The sequence below is a fragment of the Homo sapiens genome, chromosome X (genome assembly GCF_000001405.40).
Source record: "Homo sapiens chromosome X, GRCh38.p14 Primary Assembly".
NCBI lineage: Eukaryota > Metazoa > Chordata > Mammalia > Primates > Hominidae > Homo > Homo sapiens.
This window is the reverse complement of record NC_000023.11, coordinates 128,424,846-128,443,432: the sequence shown is the minus strand read 5'-3', so window position 1 is coordinate 128,443,432 and position 18,587 is coordinate 128,424,846. Positions and strand designations below refer to the sequence as shown.

The 18,587-nt window shown below is 36.2% G+C and overlaps 1 long non-coding RNA gene and 1 pseudogene across 1 annotated transcript in view; one reads left to right on the top strand and one right to left on the bottom strand.

Moving 5' to 3' along the window:
- LOC107985698 (uncharacterized) overlaps window positions 1-18,587 on the top strand; it is a 375,495-nt gene that overhangs the window by 254,259 nt on the left and 102,649 nt on the right. Inside the window, exon 5 of the long non-coding RNA XR_002958819.2 lies at window positions 8,574-8,777. This is a non-coding gene — a long non-coding RNA (uncharacterized LOC107985698). The remainder of the gene's footprint in view (window positions 1-8,573; window positions 8,778-18,587) is intronic.
- Window positions 1,651-2,504, bottom strand: RUVBL2P1 (RUVBL2 pseudogene 1; annotated as a pseudogene).

Here is an 18,587-nt window from a genome sequence, read left to right as displayed (position 1 = left end):
TTGAAGCCTGATTCTGCCTTAAATCCAAAACAACATAGTCAAATAAGAACATGGACTACTAAAGATACTGTGTTTTCGCTGTCAGATTCCTATCTGCAGTGTCATAAAGACAACTGGAACAAGATTTGGGCAAGAACTTTTTTCCATAGGTAACTAAATGCTCTTCCTCAGCATTAATTTTAATGGCTAGAGGCTAGTCCATCATGTGGATACCTATGTATCTGTTTAATCAAAACATTGGAAGTGTTTACTTGTTATAATGTTTCATTGCTGCAGAAGCTGATAAATGTATATCAATTTCCATTCTCCTTTTACTTAACAATTGAACTCCTAAGGTTAGCTGGACCCATGGATGTCCATCCTAAAACTATGTTTACAACATGCCGTTGCAATTTTGGCCATGTGATTATTGTAGTCAGTGAATTCTGAGCAGAAGTGGCATGTTCCACTTCTTAGTTCTGTCCCTAAAAATAAATGAATGCTATGTGCTACCCTGGGATTTTCTACCTTCCTCTTGACTGGAAGTTAATGAGAACTGGAGCAGTGGCCTTAGATCCAAGGATGAATACTACACGTTGAGATTAGAAGGGCTGTTTACATTAGAAAGACACAATTGTATCTATTTTTCATGCCATATGTTAAGGGGTCTCTTTTATATATAACCTATAACTTAAATCACTATATGAGCAATGCTATGATAATCACTTCTGTATTTGTAAATTTCTGATTATTTCTTTAAGATAAATTCCCTGAAGTAGAAATTCTTATGCATATAGCATACACATTTTGAGGCATTTGTTACATATTTCCAAGTAAGCCATTAGCAATGTATAAGAGTGCTAATTTTCCCATGTCTGCACTGCCTCTAGGTATTGTTACTTTTGTTTTTATCTTTGTCAGTTAATGAGATACAATATATTATTTTAATTTGCATTTACTTTACTACTTGTGCAGTTAAATATTTTTCTTAAGTTTATTATTTGCATATTTTAAAATTCATTTTCACAAACCTGTTTCTAATGTAAGCATATTTACCTTTTACTTTATTTCTATTTTGTAAATACTCCCCCAATTTGTCATTTACCTTCAATGTTTCTTTAGAATTTGTTACTGTTATTATCAAATAAAGTTCTACCAGTGATTGTCTTTATAGTTTGACCCACTGTGGTCATGCTTTCAAAGCCCAATATTAATAATTATTCACAATACTTTTCTAGTGTGATTTTTATTTTTAATGTTTAAATCTTTAGTTCCTGTGAAGGTGTCTTTAATATATTACCTCATTTTGTTTTTAGCATCATTACTACAGATGGGTAGCAGAGTTTTCTCATACCTTTTATACCAGTTCTACTCAACTATGAGCAGTATCTCTCCTTTAAGATCAATTTGTAATTGTGTACTTGTGTTTTTGTGTGTCACAATAACTGAGGGGTGGTAGTGACATTTAGAATCTTATAATCAGGAATGTTATATTATGAAGTATGTGTTGTAATATCACACAAAGAAAATATATCTGGCCAAAAGTATTTAAAGTGTACCAATTAGAAATAAAATATATTCTCATTTTGCTGATTATTATTGTCACCTTTATCATATAATACATTTCAAAAGGTAGGTATACAGATATAGATATAGATTCTTAAACTCTCTATTTCGTTCCATCCACTCGGCCACTTTGACATTGATCTGCTTGGCAACCTCTGACTTGATCTCTCTTGTGTCACATGAGAAGAGAGCCAGGAAGCCATGCGTGTGGGAGTTGATGATGTTGATCTTGTGCAAGGGACACAGTATGCACCTTGCATTTCTGGAGCTTCCCATATGGGGGCTGCCTGAATTTGGTCTGGGAGTCCATGGGGTTGTAGTCACCAGACCATGTAAAGGAGTGGCCCAACTTGGAGATCTTTCCCATTGCTTTGTCAATAGTGATCATGTCACCAGCGTGGATCTTGTCTTTGGTCAGGGACTCAATCATCTTCATGCCCAGGTCATAGATGGTCTCCATCTTCTTGGTTTTGTTGGTCAGTTTGCCCACCTTGGAGCCCATTCCTGTCACTGGTCTATAAATCTGGGTCTCAACCACTTCCCCTTCGATGATCTCCATCTCCTCCTTGAAGTGAATGCCAAAAGATGGCCAGAAAGCCTGTGTCAGTGCCTGGGTCTTGCTCATCTCCAGGGAGATCTCACTGCCGGTGATGGCTATGAACAAGGTGTCAGGTCCCAGGGCCTATGCCATGCCTAGGGCGATGGCTGTCTTCCCTCTGCCCAGCTGACCAGCAATGAGGACTGCCCACTTGACAATCTTCCCTTTATGGATCATCTCCAGCCCCACACGAGCTGCCTGCTGTGCAGCAAAGCTGACCCACCATGCCCTGGGAAGCCTGTTGAGCCTCCAAAGCATCATCCAGCCCCAGTCCTCAGATGTGGGAGTGAACACCTCTATGCTCAGTTCTCCTCACATCATAGATCTCTGGAACATTGGTCACGGTCATCACAGTTGCCATGATAAGTCACCAACCACCAATGTCTTTCCTCACAATGATTTATTTTGTATCACACACTGATCCTTCTCAAAATTATTATTTTGACTATTATCTTTTTCTTTCTTATAAAAAATCATACTTTGAGAACCATTGTCTGCTATTTTGATCAACCAGAATTATTCTTTTTCTAAGTTGAAAAGTAGTAAACTTTATCATCCTTAAATATCTAAAAATATATTTCTGCTGCTCTCATAGGTGAATAATAGCTTGGCTGGGTATGCAATTATCTTGTCATTTTCTTTCTCCCTCAAACTCCATAGCCATTGTTCAGTTGTTTCTCAGCCTTTGAAGTTAAGGAAGAGATGGAAAATAAAAGTGGTATTTACTTACTTTTGGAGTAACCTGTTATGATTTTCTTATGTTCTTGTTGGTTTGTTGGAATAGATAGTTATAGAAATTTTCCTTTTTGATATTAAAAGGTAATGTATAGGTCATATTTCTTTTCATTAATTTCATCAATTTATATAATATATAGATATTAAGGATATATATGAAAATATTTGGTTAGTTATCAAAAGATAGATAGCTATGTGATTTAGTTATTAAAATATAGTACATGAAATAGCTTTAGGCCTTTGAATGAGTAAAACCTGGTTTTGAGTCCCAACTCTGTTGTTTACTAGCTATAGGATATTGGGGGAATTCAACAAAGTCACTATGTTTCCATTTCCTCATCAGTAAAGTAATAATAATAATACCAACTTGGCAGGGTTGTCGAGAGGAGTAAATGCATTATAACATAGCATGTTTACAACAGCTCTTGGCATGAAAGAACCCCTCAATATAATTAGGTATATTAAATCCTTTCCTACTATCACATTTTAAAATCTGGTGAATATGTTACTCATCTCCAGAAAGTCTTCCCTGATTTTATTTTGTCCCCCTTTTGTCACTCTTTGCCATTAATTTTTCAGTTTTATACATATACTATTAAATGTAATTTAAAATACACAATTATGCATTGCAGATTTTTTAAAGGTTTTCTCCTATTTTTGTTTGTTTTGGGTTTATTTGCTTTTGAGTCAATCAATTTCATAGATCATTTAACATCCAGAGGAACGTTTCCTAAGGGAAGTAAATTGATAAACTTATGGCAGACACTGTGTTGCTGCTTTGTTCAATTTTATTCTCTCTTACTATTGGAACTCTCTCAAAGATGTTTACCTAAATTAATTCTCTGGTGATGGTATGAATGAATACCCTTTGGCAGATACATCTATGAACTCCTTGAAACAAACAGTTCCCCTCGGATAAACAAGTATTTACATGCCATGGTTGATTCACGAGATGGTGGCTAGTTTCCAGTATTGAGTGACAGCAGTTTTGTTTGAGCCAGAAGAGTGGTCACAAACTGTCAACCCACTGACCACGTTTCATTTGGCTAATGTATTTTTTTCTATTTAAATGCCTTTTAACACTGCATATACTCTCTATTTTTCCACAGTCCCAACTATTCTCTGTTGGTTTTACTCCAGGGTCACGTCACTCATTTTTACTACTTTCCCTGTATTTACTTATGTTTGTGTTTCCTAAGCCAGCTTAATGTTTACGCAACTGAACCTCAGTGTAAAGATCAGGATTGAAGAGGGGGCATAAAAACATGTCTAAAACTGCTAACTGGGGCATTATTTAATCAATCCATTCAGCAAATATTCATTGAGTATCTTCGTGCCAGAAGCTGAGATAAGTTCTCATAATAGAGTAGTAAACAAAGTATACATAGTCATAGCCCCCTCTTGGAGTTTACAGTGTAGTGGAAGAAACAAAATTAGCTTAATCACATAAATGAAAAATTTTAATGGTGGCTTACTATTCTAGAAGAAGGTAGAGAATGAAGAGAAAAGGAGGAGGGAGGGAGAGAGAGAAATAGAGAACGGAGAGACATAGAGGGGAAACAGAAAGAATGAATGAGGAGATGGCAGAGGAATAGATGGGTGAAGAGGAAAGGAGAAGTACAGGGAGGAGCAATGTCAAAGTGGAACCGTCAATAGAAGACCAAAATAGAACTAACAACACCCTCTGAATTTATGGAAACACTGAACAGTCATAGAACATCTTCATGATTTGAGTTCACATAGTAAAGGTAGTATTATAATTCTCTACTTACCAGGCACATCAATTACTTTTAACAGCCTTGCTGAGCATTTTTTTCCAACGACCACTTTTCTGTTTCCACTTTGTGTGTGTGTGTGTGTGTGTTTCAAAACAGAACATTTTTGCTGAAAATAAACTGGCTTCTTAATATGGTCACCACATAAGCTTGTGAAAGGACAAGGAGACCTGAAGCAATTGTAGATACTACAACATACGTATTAAAACTTGAAAGCACACAGAAGTGTTACTTTGCCAGCTCATTTTCATTAGGACGCGTGCAGGATCAGAATGAAGATTTACAGTCTATATGGCTTGCCTGGGATGTATTTACCAAAAATAATAGGGCCATTCTCTGTGTTCCTGGTCCCCAATCTAGACTCTGTAACAAAAACGAATGTATTTCTGTTTGCTATGTTGATGACTGAAAATATGTCGTGACCATTGTGAACATAAAAAATAACGGGAAAAAGATGCTATTCTTTTTCACCCTAAAAAGACTAATGTAAAATTGCTTATTTGACAATTTTTCAGAATTTTTTCATATATATATATATGTGTGTATAGCCAATCCAACTCCCTCCATTGCAGTCTCTGAAAGTGCATTTGTCTTTTATTTTCTAAAATCTTCCTGTGATAGTATCTATCTACCTACCTATTCAAGCCTTTGTACATAATTATTTACCTGAAGACTGGTTAATTATACTTGTCTAAGCGCCAAGAAAAGCTTGAATCATAGCTAAAACCTGAAACTCTTTAATTTTTAAAAATGTGTTCAAGAAGTAGAGATTAAATCTCTACTGTTTTACTTACTAGCTGAGTGATTTAGACCAAATTACCTACATCTCTGAGCCTCCGTTTTCTGATCTATTAAATTGAGACAAAAAAGTACCTACCCCATAGATCTGCATGAAGACTAAATAAGATGATGCATGAAATGTGCTTAGTAAACAGCATGACCTGTACTAAATGCTCTAAAAGTCACATTACTAATCAAAGATCCACCTCAATAAATTAACCCATCCATATCTACTTCTGTAGAAAACACTGCCCATTGTGTACATAATCTCCATCACATCACCCAAACAGAATATGCCTGACCATGTGAACAACCAATAAGTACTGATGTGTTTGTGTAGTTCTTATGGATTGAATACTGGAATTAGTAAACCTTTTAAAAGTACTGTGCAATGTTTACCTATGTAACAAAACTGCACGTCCTGCACATGTATCTTGGAAGTTAAAATTAATTTTTTAAAAAAGTACCGTGCAAAGATTCCAATGGCTTCTAACTCTAGTGGCTGGAAGCAATTGGCAGCACAGGGCATGAGAGGCTTCAGGGTGTGAAACAATAAAAGATTCCCAGATGAGCATTCAAAGAAGAAATAAAAGTACTTCTAATATTTTTGTTAAAATATTTTTAAAATTCATTAAAAATGTAATTTAAGCTATTATGTTTTTTTCCTGTGGTGTTTATCTTTTTCTTTTTTTATTTTATTATTATTATACTTTAAGTTTTAGGGTACATGTGCACAATGTGCAGGTTAGTTACATATGCATACATGTGCCATGCTGGTGTGCTGCACCCATTAACTCGTCATTAAGCATTAGGTGTATCTCCTAAAGCTATCCCTCCCCCCTCCCCCGACCCCACAAAGCTATTATGATTTTTAAATTTGCTGATCAGCTGATTACTTTAAAAATGAATTGGCTTTTGTTTATAACCAGAGATAGCTCACTAACTGATTAATCTGACAGTCCAGGTTACTCTCTCTGCTAAGTTCTCAACTAAGCTGGCTCAGTTTAAGATTTCTCCGCCATGAATTTATTGAAGCAGCTTATAAAATTGCTTTCTCATTTCCTGTTTGGCCAAAGCTGTATGTCAGGTCTTGCAGCTGCCAGCCCTGTTAGGCTCAGCTATCTAACAGGTCTAGACTACAGACCAATGCTTAGTTCTGAAGGTGATCTGGCTGGTATTCAGTCCAAAAGTATTCTGATCAGAATTGATGCCTACTATGAGGAGTCCACATTCCTGATAGGAATTTGTCTAAACTCCCACAGCTCCTGGTGACCGCTCATAGGCCTTTGCATATGGATACAAATTTAGCTTATACTCAAAAGAGATAGAATTTGCCCTTGGCCTATATTTATTTTCAGCATAATGGAATCTTAATGTAAACTTTCATTAGTCAGATATTTGATAGCATAGCATCTAAATGAATCAGTAACTGTAAACATCTAGAGCTTAAGAATTATAATAGCTGATATCAATTGGGTGTCCATTATGTGCCAGGCACTTTATAAGGTCTACTTGAATGTTCACAGCAGCCCTTTGGAGTGGAACTATTATTGTATTCCAATTTTGCAGAACGAAGAAATGATGAATTGGCGTGAATTTCTCAAGATCTGCCCTAGTAATTAGTGTAGGCGAAATATTAAACTCAAGTCTTTATGGCTGTGGAACATCAGATCTTAAGAACAATATTACTGTGCCCAGAATAGCAGTTTTTGTTTTACCTGTGACTCTGAAACACTGAAAGATACTAAGTGCTTTTTTCTAGTTTTTTCTGGCTTAGCAGTGTATATCTTATCCCATGTATAATGTTATGTAATATATTATATTTATTACAATATGATAAGGGCCATGTATCAGCTTGAACAGAGAGATTTCAGAGCACTGGGTGGTGGTGACACCTCCAGTAGAACCGATAATGTGATAATACCAGTAATAATGCTAAGCAAAGAATAGGATAAGGGAGTTCCATTCAGGGAAAATATCATGAACAAACAGTCAGAAAGGTATATCCAAAGAGAAGACACGTCTCAGAAAAAGGACATATAATTTGTTGTGGCCAGAGCCGAGTATATATAAAAAATGGAAAGACTAGGGGAAAGATCACAAATTGTGAAGAAGTTTGGATGCTTTATTAACAATGGTGTGTGTGTGTGTGTGTATGTGTGTGTGTGTGTGTGTTAGGAGGTGGTGGTGGCTAGAGTCAAGAGATGAGAAAAAATTATGAATGATGGCATTATATATATATAAACTATCTCTGGTTTACTGCATACTCTGTGGCCTTGGACAAATTATTTAGCATGTTTAAGCCTCAGTTTTCTAAAAATAAATGAGGAAAATAATTCCTACCTCACTCTGTTGTTAAAAAGATTAAGATTAGATTAAATAAACGAGATGCAACCATAATATATAGAATATAGCCGGTGTACAGAAGTGGTTAAATATGCTTTCCAACCTTTCCTGAAGTGATTATTCACTTGATTTGAATATCTTGTTACTCACTTACCTTGGATGAGTAGCAATTTACTGTATTTGCACATGCAAACCTGTGAATCAAATTATCCTAAGTTGAGTGATGTCTGACTTCTTTCTCTACTCATATGTAGAGGACTCATATGTGTACTACTGTGACAGAGCATGATGAGAATATATTATCTTAATATAACTCAGAAGCCAAGGTATGGAACTTGTGGACAATTGCCAAGAAAATCGTGTCTATGAATACAGATGCATTTTGTCATTCATTTATTTGGCATTCATTCATTCATTCATCCAATGAGCATTTACCAAATACATACTATGTTCCAGGTACCATGCTGAGTCATAGCAATTCAGAGATGTCTAAGATGTGCCTCCTTTCCTCACAGAGTCCTCCCATAGTCTAATTGCACATAACCCGTAATTCATTTCAGTGATTTATAAATCAGAACATTCTCATGCAGTATATTTTTCATCTCAGCAAACACACATACCCAAACATATACGCAACATCCATACATTTTAAGACCTTTGTCAAAGCCCATACAGAATATCTAAAGGTCCTGTGGGTCCATTATAAGTTGTCGTTCAAATTTATTCTTTAAACTAGTCCCTGAACCTCTCAATAATCTCTTTTGAGAATGCTTTTACCATTTTGTCTCTTACAGGGAGGTCACTCTAATTCCTTTTAATGTGTGCTGAAGAAAGGGCAGCACAGCTGAAGCCTGATTTAAAATCTGATCTTCTCCCTAATGTCACAAGGACATCCTGAGACAATGGCTGAGGAGCTATGCACCAGTACCCAGCTGGATCCCTGATACTTACATTGGCAGATGCATTATCAACAGAGACATCGATTTAGAGTGAATTAAGTAAGCAATTTCCATTTTCAAGCCTACAATTCCATTTTAGCACCAGGAGATATTAACCGGTATTGTTATAGGTAAAATCTGATTGTGTTAAGGAGGGTGCCTGGACAATCAGAGGGAGTCAGAATAGGAAATTAGAGTTTCGAGTTTTGTTCCCTTGTCTAGTATGCTGGGTCACCTTGAGAAACTTCCATCATGACTGGGTCTCAGTTTCTAAAAATCAAATTTTACTTGCTGTGTTCCCGAAAGAGAATTTTTGGATAACTGACTTGCTATGTATAACTCTCTCAAGGTAAGTATATGCAAGGAATTGCTGTAGGTGCAGGATTTTGCAAATTGCTGAAATGAAACACTAGGTTGGCTTTGAAATATACTACTTCTCATCTGTGCAGCCAGCAAAGTAAAGAGCAAAGTGAACTACTTAAATGCTCTCATTTCCAGCAGATTGATTGGGCATGGCAGAGGAGGAAGGGAGAGAGGAAATCTTATGTACGAAGACATTGTAAGGCATACAAAAATATTAATATTCTGTAATAACTCCTCTGGGTATAATTCTTCTACCTCAAATATTTGAAATACATATTGCTGAGATTTGGTATTGACAAATATTTTAAACAATTTGTTTGTGAGCAGAATTTTATCGACCCAAGTTGTGAATACAGTTTTCTTCCTAGAATGTTCTCTCTCATTTTCATACTTATACTAATAACATAATTACATAGCATTTTACAGTTCACATATAAGTCAATTTATTTGAGCTAGTATTATTTTCCTTATTTCACAGATGAAAAATTAAAGCCCAGGGATAATGCTACTTTCTATGATTCCCTAGCTAGGACTAAAATTCTGGCATTCCACAATCACTGCCAGTGATTTCTCCACCACAGCATGCTGTGTATACTAAACTGTGGCACAGGTAAAGAAAGCTATGGAACCTGAGAGATTCAAAAGATTAATTTTCTCCAAAGGCCTCAAGGAAAAATGTCATTACTGAGGTGAGATACTAGAATTATGATATTTATTTATATTAAAGAACACTTACAACACATGACACTTTGTGTTATTTTTAAACTCATGGTGATACCCAAAGTTTCTGAAAATAAATAGCTTCTAACATTTTATTGCAGTGTTTTCTAGACTCTGTGGGAGGAGTTTCATAAAAACAAGGGCAAACACCCTTGGGAAAGGTTGCATATGATATCCTTTTCTTGGAGATTCATAGAGCACATAGTAAATAAAAGGCTCTGAAAATTCCTGTAAAAAGAAAATTTGTTCAAGCTTGTTAAACTCAGGTTTTCTTTATTTTAAATTCTAACACCTGTTAAACTTCTCCTGGCATGCTAATATTTATGTGAAACACAATTTGCACAATGGAAAGCAATCTTCCCATTTCTCCTACTAAACACATCACTCCTTTTTTTCTTCCATAGTTATACTATAATTGAAAACTAAAAGAATCCAAGAAAAATTGATGGTGAATATGGCCATAGTCAATATTATTGGAGTGGAAACTTACAGACGCCAAGACCTGTTTTACCTTCTCTTAAAAAGAGTCTTGCACATCACAGTTGCTCAGTTATTCTAATGACATTTTCATCTTATCGACGTGTAAATCTTCTCTGAACATTTTTGTTCATGAGAAGAATAAATATTCCTAAAACTTTTAAGATAAATACATATCTATTCAGGGATATTAGACATTCGTATTTATAAGAGCTGAAGGCTGGAAAAGTTAGTCTTTTATTTCCTGTAATTCCATTAGCAGAGGCAATTTGTATGTCTTCTGTCCATTATTCTTATTCACCTTAATAGCTTAATCAAATTCCAGTTGTGGGGTAATGACTTCTTTGTTGCTGTTTGAATATAACTCCTTTTTGGTCCATTGGATTAGATTGAATGTTACTTATGCTGATGTGCCTACCAGAATAAAGCTACGTATCTATGTGGTTTATGGCAAGGTCTCCCTTGAAATATGAAGTCATCCTTGATGCCTAACCCCTAGAAAAGGGGGTGCCTATTTAACACCAGAAACAGAAAATTAGGGAGAGAATCCTAAGTGTGTTATATACTGAGAATCTCTCTTCTTTCAATTAATCAAGCTGTCAGAGGTATTCCTAGGTAGTGCATTTGAGATTTTGTCCTTTACATGAAGGAATTCTGAAACATAGGAAATAAAAAAAAAATCTAGGCAAATTGTTGAAGGTGTACAAGATTTTTGTGGCTCAAATACTGATATTATAAGACAATGAATAGAATTGATAGAATTGGTACTAAAGCCCTCAAACACTGAAAACAAGCTAGACATAGTAGGATTCAAGAGTTGAATGGTTACTTCTTTTTTTTTTTTTTTTTTTTTTTTTTTTGACAGAGTCTCGCTCTGTCGCCCAAGCTGGAGTGCAGTGGTGCGATCTCCGCTCACTGCAACCTCCTTCTCCCGGGTTCAGAATGGTTACCTCTTATCTCTCACAGCTTCCCAAGCCTTCTTTGTTACATATGTATTGACCATATTTCAGATTCCTGAATGGATTATTCTCTGTCATCTTTGACACTTTTTACATTCTATTCTTTCTTTCTTGAACATTCTCCCTAGACCCTACTCTTACACTAACTTGGTTAATTTCTACTTAGGCTTCAGTTCTTAAAGTGTTATTTTTTCTGTGAAGGGGTTCTTGGTCTTTGCCCACTCCTCATATAGATCAGGAATTGAATGTCCTTTCTGTGTGATCTCAGGGCACTCTGCAATTTTTCCCCATCAAAACACCCACAAAACTGTATAGTAAATGTCTGTTGAGTCTTTGTCTCTTACTGAACTTTGATCTCTCTTAAAGTAAGGGCTATGTCTTTCTTGTTCATCATTTTCTTTTTAATAGTACTTACCAGATAGTATATCCTTGATAAACATTTGCATTTGCTGAATAGATAAATGATTGCACATGACATTTTGTTATTTTAGTATATGTTTTATGATATTTTTTGCACAATTCTCTTGGAAATCCTAAGCAAAAGCCAGTCTGACAATGGGGGAAAGATAAGAAGATATCATTGTGTCACAAACTAAAAGGTCAACAACACCTCTAATTTGCTTTTGATGTAATCTGTACAAATTAGATCTTCTCTTTGTAAGTCTCTTTCGCTCTAGATTGTTAGAGTTGTTCAACTTTAATTCCAAAAATTAAAAAGAAAACAAAGGGAAATTACAAAAACAACCTATTTGCTGATCTCTTCAATAAATAAAAAGAAAGCATTTGAAAATTGCCAACAGTTTGGAGCAGTGTGAATGGAGATATCTACAATGTGATTTATTCACATTAGGTATTTTTCAGATGCATGCAGTTAACAGCCTTAACTATTGCCACCCAATATGACGGTGCCATTTATTTACAATGTAGGGCATGCTGTTTGCAAAGAAACCCCATTGTTACATTTTACTTTGCTGTCAGCTGCCCAAGTCTATCTCTGGCTGTTTTTTATGCTACTGTGGCCCTTGAACAGAAATGATGATGCAAAGGAGGAATCAACCAAGCTAAGCAATTGAGCAGTTGACAAGGTGCCGGGAAAGAATAGGAACAGAAGAAACTGATTTATATTTGGTTATCTGCTTGAAGCAAGGAGGTGTCCTCTGCTTTGTTTTTATTCACAATACTATTAGCTTTTCTAGATTTCCTAGCTTGACCAAAATTCCAGTGTTTTCCTGTGTACAAAATGATATCGAAAACCACAGTATCTTTATGGTTTGTAATGTGCTTCTGCCAAAATCTTAATACCAATATTTTGGTAAAGGAAATGGTATAGTTCTTTGAGATATGACATTTCAATAATTGAGTAGTTTGGTTGTGAAAAGAAGGAAAGAAAACAGCTTCAGAGTGTTGACTGGTGACATTTTTCTGGAATGGTGAGACTATACTAATATTTTACCCCTGAACTTCATTTCTTGGCCTCAAATAAGATGAAGTAGCCTAAGGTCAGATTGTTTGTTGCGTGAATTGTGGAAAAATTAATCAGTCCTCAATCAGTCAGTCATTAAGCAAGCATTGTGGAGCTATTATATCATGCCTGTCCCTCTGCTAGATGTTACAGAAGGTAAAACAAAATAGAACTCTATTCACAGACCTTAAAAAAACCTTATAATCTTCTTGGGGAAAAAACAAGTCTCAAAGTCAAAATCATGAGATAATTTTTCCAATTGTGAGTGCTAGGAATGTGCTACAAAATATATTGTTGTGTAAATTGGGGAAAAGTAGAGATCACTGAGGGCTGAGGCTAGTAGGTATTTAGGAAAACATTCGAGGCCGAGGCGGGCAGATCACGAGTTCAGGAATTCGAGGCCAGCCTGGCCAATATGGTGAAACCCTGTTTCTACTAAAAATACAAAAATTAGCCAAGTGTGGTGGTGCGTGCCTGTAGTTCCAGCTACTCAGGAGGCTGAAGCAGGAGAATCACTTGAACCCAGGAGGTGGAGGTTGCAGTGAGTAGGGATCGCACCACTGCACTCCAGCCTGGCAACGTAGTGAGACTCCATCTCAAAAAACTCAAAAAAAAAAAAAAAAAAAAAAAAAAGACAACATTCTCCAGGAGTTGAATGTACTAGTCAGGTCCTGAGGGTTTGTACTATGCTTTCGCTTGCTAGAGGCTGAATGGTCATTTTTCATTTTGTTTAAGTAATGCATATTCAGTTAAATATTTTAAGTTACTAGAAGGAAAGATGGTGAACAGAGAAGAGGGGAAGATAAAGAATATTTCCTGAGATGAAGAAGACCAGCTTGATAATGGGGCTGGCCTGCCATTTTTGTTTGTTTTAATGTGAATTATGACAATAACCTACATTAAAGTATAGGTTTATTTACTCACACTCTCCTTTTTGTGTACCTTACTGCAGGAATACTGTATAGATTTAGATTGTAGTTTAGAATACTAGAAAATGCATATAGCACTTGCTGTATGTCAGGAATTGTTGCAACCACTTTACAACTATTTATTTATTTCATCCTCATAACTCTATAAAGCTTTACAGGTGAGAAAAATAAAGCACAGAGAGGTAAAGTAATTTGTCCAAACTCACATAACTAATAAGTGGCAAAGCCAAGATTTGAACCTGAGCAACTTGATTCCAGCTTTTAAACAATATGCATTGTGGCTTGCATTGCACTTGGTTATTTGCAGGGCCTTAACTGACTTCTAGGTGTATCTATATACGGTTAAACTTGTGTGCTTGGTGAGTCTTTCCTTGGCCTCTATTTTTTTTTTTTTGTCATATATTATGTAGGTTCTGAGGAAATCTGGTGGGAATGTTGGTCATGAGATCAGGGAGAAAGTTATATATATATGAAAAACAGAACTTTTTTGGTATTTCTTAAATTATTATATAAATTGTTGAATCTACAGCTGTCTTCTTTGATTAGGCTCTTATGCAACAATGGGTTGAGAACTACAAGCCAATAAGACATTGCTTGTACACCCTGATCAGAACAGGGCAGCATTCTATGGCAGATCACTGTCCAGGGTAGTTCTCCTACAGTGAGCAGACATTCTGAGGGTGTACAAATACCGTTCTTCCAGACTCCATCTTCTCATTTGTTTGCTCATTCTGTGTCATGGAGTCTTTTCAGCAAGGCTTATATTTATAAGTAACAATAGTTTCTTACATTTTGCCCTCCCCAAATGCAAACCAACTACTACAAGAGTACTTAGTGAATAATGGTGGATAGTAAAGCCATCCCTGCTAGATCTTAAGTTGGCTCACTTTCGATTCATTTTGTTTTTGAACATCTATGCCCCAAATGTCAACATTTCTGTCAAGTTCCTTCTTAAATTGTTTTCCGAATTCTCATCTGGAAGGAAGAGTTAAGCACATCTGCTAGAGGCATTTTCATCAAGCATACTACATAAGGTCTTTGCTCTTTCACCTTCCCCACTGGCTCAGACTAATGCCCACCCTCATGCATTCCACACTGCTAACCCTGCTAAGAAATACCATTGCAGTCGCCATGCCCCTCAACCTGAGAACAGGTCTCAAGGTATATTGCAAATGGAAAATAATTCACCTTCACTAAAATGCTGGGGTTCTGCTTCAAAATATTTGTCGATTTTGCTATTGTTTGGGCAGGCAGAGGAAGGGAATTCCACTATTCCTGTCACAGTGATTGACAGAAATGAAGCATGGAAGAGAGCAACTGTGTTTATGAGCACGGGAGGTGAAAACTAGACAAGACCTGGATCATATATTTTTAACAACTTAATAAATTTCTTTCACCCATTCCCCAAATCTTCACTTTCCAGCCAGAAAAGAATGACATCAAGTTTCAGCTAGAAATGAATTTTTGTTTTTGAACGTTGGAAAGTTATAAGACTATAAAACATATTTTTAATGAAATTGAGATATCCTCCAGAGTCTCACTCAAATCTAGTCCTTGGGGCTATGCCATTCTCATAGGACAGATAACCTCCCAGTAAGATCTTTGTGCTACTTCAGCAACCAAATTCTTCTAGATGGGTCTGAAACAGTCCCTTTTATGCTGAGTTCTGTATTGTTCTCTCATTGTATTAGAGCAAAGTCTGACTTACTTCACTGTCCCAAATCCTTGACATTCAGAGTGGAATCATTAAAGAATTGGTCATGGTAAATGTGTTTTGTGGAGGAGATTTGACAAGTTTAGAGCCCACCAATAGGCAAATTGTGCCAGGATATACTAGTGATGGCTCGTGTCTCATTTTTGAGGAATCCTGAGGAAAGAGAAAATTTTTCCTTGAAAGTTAAAATCCATTTTTTCCTTTTAATTATATATTCATCCACCTTAAAGATATTCTGCTACCCCTTATTGAAGCAGTATAGTATAGCTGGTAGAGCAAAAATTTTTAAGCAAAACATACAGATTGGAAACACGGCTGTGCAGACAAGTAGATGTGGGTGAAGTCTTGGAAATAAATTAACAGCTTGGACTCTATTTTCTTCTCTGTAAATAGCAAATAACTTTACTGATTCTGTGGGGTAGTTCAGAATAAATGAGATATAAATATATAAATGAAATATAAATCTATGTCACTATAACAAATACTTAGGTCTCTACAATGTATATTTTTTGGGGTGGTGTTTCTGTTTATCCTTAAAGGTAAACGGGATAAATATTTTCCTCCCTGTTTTCTCCTGTTCTGTACTTTTCATTGGGGCAAACTTATTTTGAAAGATGATCTTGAGCATATGCTAAATGAATTCAATTGAAGAATAGTCACAAAAGACTCTTTTCCCAAACAGGTTGGCTAATTGTTAGTCATAAAATTAATAGCTCTCCAAAAGAGAGTGGGGCATCCTGATTACCATGTAGGGCTGCAAGGGACAGTGGGTGATGTAAGTGTGATCATCTATGTGATGCAATTTGAGAATAGCTGGCAAAAAGCCCACCTTACCTCAAGAATTTTCATCGTAATAGCCACTGCCACCTGCCCCCTTTGCCTAACATGAATCTGTTTATACGGTGTGATGGTTAATACTGAGTGTCAACTTGATTGGATTGAAGGATAGAAAATATTAGTCCTGGGTGCGTTTGTGAGAGTGTTGCCAAAGGAGTTTAACATTTGAGTCAGTGGGCTGGGGAAGGCAGACCCACCCTTAATCTAGTGGGCACAATCTAATCAGCTGTCAGTGAATATAAAGCAGGTAGAAAAATGTGAAAGGTGAGACTGGCCTAGCCTTACAGCCTACATCTTTCTCTCATGCTGGATGCTTCCTGCCTTCGAACATCAGACTCCAAATTCTTCAGTTTTGGAACTTGGACTGGCTCTCCTTGCTCTTCAGCTTGCAAACAGCCTATTGTGGGACCTTGTGATCATGTAAGTGAATAATTAATAAACTCCCCTTGATATATATATATCAAACTGTGCCAGGATATACTAGTGATGGCTCTTGTCTTGTTTCTGAAGAATCTTGAGGAAAGAGAAAAGTAAGTTTTATGTGTATATATATATATATATATATATATATATATGCATCTCAGTTGACAACACAATTTACATAATATGTACCCAGAAGTTGTTCTTCACTCTACTTCATCCCTCACATATTTGCTGTTTTAATTTAGTTTTTCCATGTATTTATTTGACATATTTTACTCAACACCTTTATGTATGAGACACTCTTCTAAGTACTGGGGATAGAAAAGAGAACAAAACAAACGAAGACTCTGTTCCTGTGGCCCCTACGTTGTAGTGGGGGTGAATCAGACTGTAAAAAGTTAAACAAGTACAGATTTTGACAAGAGCTATGATAAAAATAATAGAATGACAAGACAGATTGGCTGGAAGTCCCTAGTTTATATTGGATGGTCAAAGGCTTTTTTGGTAAGGTGATATTTAAACTAAGGTCTAAATGGTAAGAATAATTCAGCCATGCAGAGAAATAGGAGTAGAGGTAGAGGAAACAGGGAGACCCTCTGATATGAGAAACAGGCATGTTTAAGGAATCAAAGAAATCACTTTGGCTGGATTGTACCAAACAAGAAGAAAAGGAAGAACAATGAGGCCACGTATAGCCATGTAGGCCAAGATGAGCAGTCTGAATTTGATTGGACAACAATAAAACCATTGGAAAGTTTGAAGTCAGAGAATAATGTCCAGTTTATATTTTTAATCAATTACTATATTTTTGTGGCTAATGGATTTTAGGTGAACAAGAAAGAAAACTGGAAATCTTGTTAGGAGACAACTAGAGAATTCTAGGTGAAAGATGATCATAATCTAAATTACTGGAATAGGCTTTAACAGTGGAGGCAGGGTTAAGTCTAAATTCAGAGGCAGGGTTAAGTGTATATTTAGGAGATAGTGCTGCTAGGAATCTTACTGAATTGAATATAGGAGGTGGAGGAAAGAGAAATCAAGGATTATTTCTAAGTTTGTAGTATGAGCAACAGGTGAAAGACTTGTATTTTGCTATGATGAGGAAGCTGGAGGAAATATTTTTGTTTCTTCCCTGTTATGTTTAAGAAGCCTATTACCATTCAAGTAGAGATGAAAAGGAGGCAGTTGGATACACAAGTCTAAATTTCCAGGGACAAATCAGGGCTGGAGATAGAGATAGTAGGCAGAACCATGTATCTAAGATTAGATCACCTACCAGCCACTAGAAATAGTGATTATCTGAAGGCAGAGACCTGGGGTGCACCCAAAATTTATTTCCACACTTGCATATATTTATTTCTCCTTCTCTTCCTCTCCCTTGCCTCTCTTCCTATCTCATTTTTCTTCTTTACCACCACTTATTCCATCACTGGGTTTAAAATTTCTGTGATAATTGAGACAGAAGTTATCAATAACCTGTTTGTTAGAGATCACAGTGAAGCAAAGAGATTGACTGTCATATTTCTCTCAGGCATTTTAGTCAGGTTCAGTCTATTTCAAGTGGGTGTAGTGAACAGCTACAGGTGTGAATACAAAACACGTTTGTTTTCGAGAAATCTGGTAAGTAATAATGGGGTAACACCCCAAGTAGCAATGAACACATACAGCAACCATATCTTTCTGTCCAAATATAACATGCTACCAGAAGTCAGTGATCCTTGAGGAAATATCTAATTCCAGGCAAAGTGCAAGGTCAGCTTGGAGCAAATAACTTATGGGAGAAAGTAAGGAAGTGCTTAAAAACTGAGGAAACATAACAAAAGAATGTAGAGGCCAACATAATAAGGCCCTCAGGGGCCAAAGTTAGGAAAATTTACAAAACTGATTTATAACACATTGAATTAAAAAAACCTCTGACTTCATAAGAGTATTCACATTCACAGAAAAAAAGGTAGCATGGGAGGAGAAGGGGATATATCTTCTTTA